The sequence below is a fragment of the Homo sapiens genome, chromosome 5 (assembly GCF_000001405.40).
Source record: "Homo sapiens chromosome 5, GRCh38.p14 Primary Assembly".
Classification (NCBI taxonomy): Eukaryota; Metazoa; Chordata; class Mammalia; order Primates; family Hominidae; genus Homo; species Homo sapiens.
Window position 1 is genome coordinate 24,785,117 of NC_000005.10, and position 2,145 is coordinate 24,787,261.

Below are 2,145 nucleotides of genomic sequence, written 5' to 3' on the forward strand. Positions count from 1 at the left end.
GCATTAGCCTCATCTGGATAATGCAGAATAATTTCCTTACCTGAAAATACTTAATCCTTAATCACATCTACAAAATCCCTTTTGGACATAAGGTCACATACTCACAGGTTTCACTGGTGGAGATGTGGAACTCTTTCAAGGTATTTGTTTATCTTACCACAATGTGGAACATGCAAGTTTTATCACTAGGCCTTTTAAAAATACAAGTTAAATATATAAAATGGAATAAAACTCGAACACAAAAATTCTCAACCTCAACCTAAAATAACATAAACAAAAGTCTTTACATTTCCAGCATTCTGAATTATTCTCTGCCTTTGATTGATCAAGAAATATTTATAGGACAAATCACAATAATTGAAGCAATCTATATTACAAGCTTATTAAGTTCTGCTGTTTTTAAAGATAAAATAATTTTTTAATTAAATCTTTGGAAGAAATAAGAATATAATAACATTAAAATTGTTCACCAAATGCAAAAAATGTTGAAAAAAGTATTTTGGTTCGGGTCACTTGAATCAGAAAAATTTTATTATCTTTTCAATCATGGACAAAAGTAGTAATCATAAATTAGCTGAAAATCTGCCCCTGATGAGATTTCATATAAAGACATAAAAAGTGACTCAGAGATATTTAAATGTTACAATCAATAAAACTGATTGATCTACAGGAATGTTAGGGTATTTTAAATGTTAGAATAAATAAAATGTGTTTATCTATAAGAATTTATAATAGGGGAAAATAGGAATAAAGGAAAATTCCTGGATAGTGTAATTAACCAGGATGAGGCATTTAAGACGAGAAGCAGTTTAATAGACAAAAATTTCTGTTTTCTGGGTTGACGTTGGTTGAATTACCTATTGACCCTCCAGGCTGGTATGTTCCTGTAGTAATTCTGAATGATTCCCATTCAGCATCCTGCCTTTCCTCCTTATAGTTATCAATCTTCCTTCAGAGGATGGAAAAACTAAAACAGCTCTTTAAAAGTCCTTAATTTCTACCATTTTGATACAAAGTTGACATCTCTAACTAGATGCAGTTGCACAACATTTGAAATTTGGAAGTGGGTTTGAAGGGCAAACTGTCTCCTAATTGATTGGGTTCCCCCTCCCCCTCGCCCCCACATTAAGCATAGTTGTAAGGACAAAGGGTTTTTCTTCAGCAACCCAGTCCCTAGCTTTCTCCTGTCATGACCTTGGGGTGTGTGTGGGAGCAGCATCCGCATATGTGGATCACAGCTGCAGCTGAGTGTTCTTAACAATTCCCGTTGTGGCATCTAAGGTGTCAGCCTTGAGCTGCCCCTCCAGTCCTTCTGAAAATTTTAAATAATCTGACCACTGCATTGAATCCCTTTCTGCTAAAAGTAGCTATAACGGTTTCCATTTCTTATAACTGAACCCTAACTGATAAAATTTGGATGGCAGTTAGCTTGTTAAGTCTGGATTTCAGATCAATATCTTCATTCTATTACTTTACTGGGTATATTCACTAATATTGCATACAACTTCATATAAAATTAAATAATTAAAAGTACAGCTATGAACAGAGTAATGATATGAATGAGAAGAGTCACCATTCTGCACCCTGGACTAATGTGGTATTTGTTTTTTTGTTCCATGGGCCTCTCAACCTTACATTTTCATTGTAGAGAGAATAAAGTTTTTCCTCTGAGTTCTCTCCCATCGCATGCCCAGTCACTGTGTCATCGATTTGTGTTGACCCACTGGTACTTCTCCACCTGGTGCATAGCAGGCCTGTAATACCAAGGGTGCTTCTGTGAGATGTGGTGTTTCCCAGTGGGCTGACACGGCCATCTGCCACATTCTTTTTGTGGGGAATTTGGAACCAAGATTGAAAGGGCTGTTTCAAGTATTCAACCTGATAAATACCATTTGAATTGCTGACTTTAGAACTGAATATAGATATTTGGAAATCATTAACATATAGGATAGACATGACATTGAAGGTGGTCATCCAGGAAGTATTGCATGAATAAAAACATGGAAGAGCATCAATCCCATAAGAAGGTACAGGAAGAGAAGCCAGCAAGAGAAGCTGGGAGTAAATGACGATGTACAATATAAAAGTCTTAAAGAAGATTTCAAGTCTTTGAAACATTTCCCTTTCCACTATAATAAATTTCCT

At 35.5% G+C, this 2,145-nt stretch overlaps 1 pseudogene; it reads right to left on the bottom strand.

Annotated features, from left to right (window-relative positions):
* Positions 1-1,525: 1,525 nt before the first annotated feature.
* On the bottom strand, positions 1,526-1,912 carry BTG4P1 (BTG anti-proliferation factor 4 pseudogene 1; annotated as a pseudogene).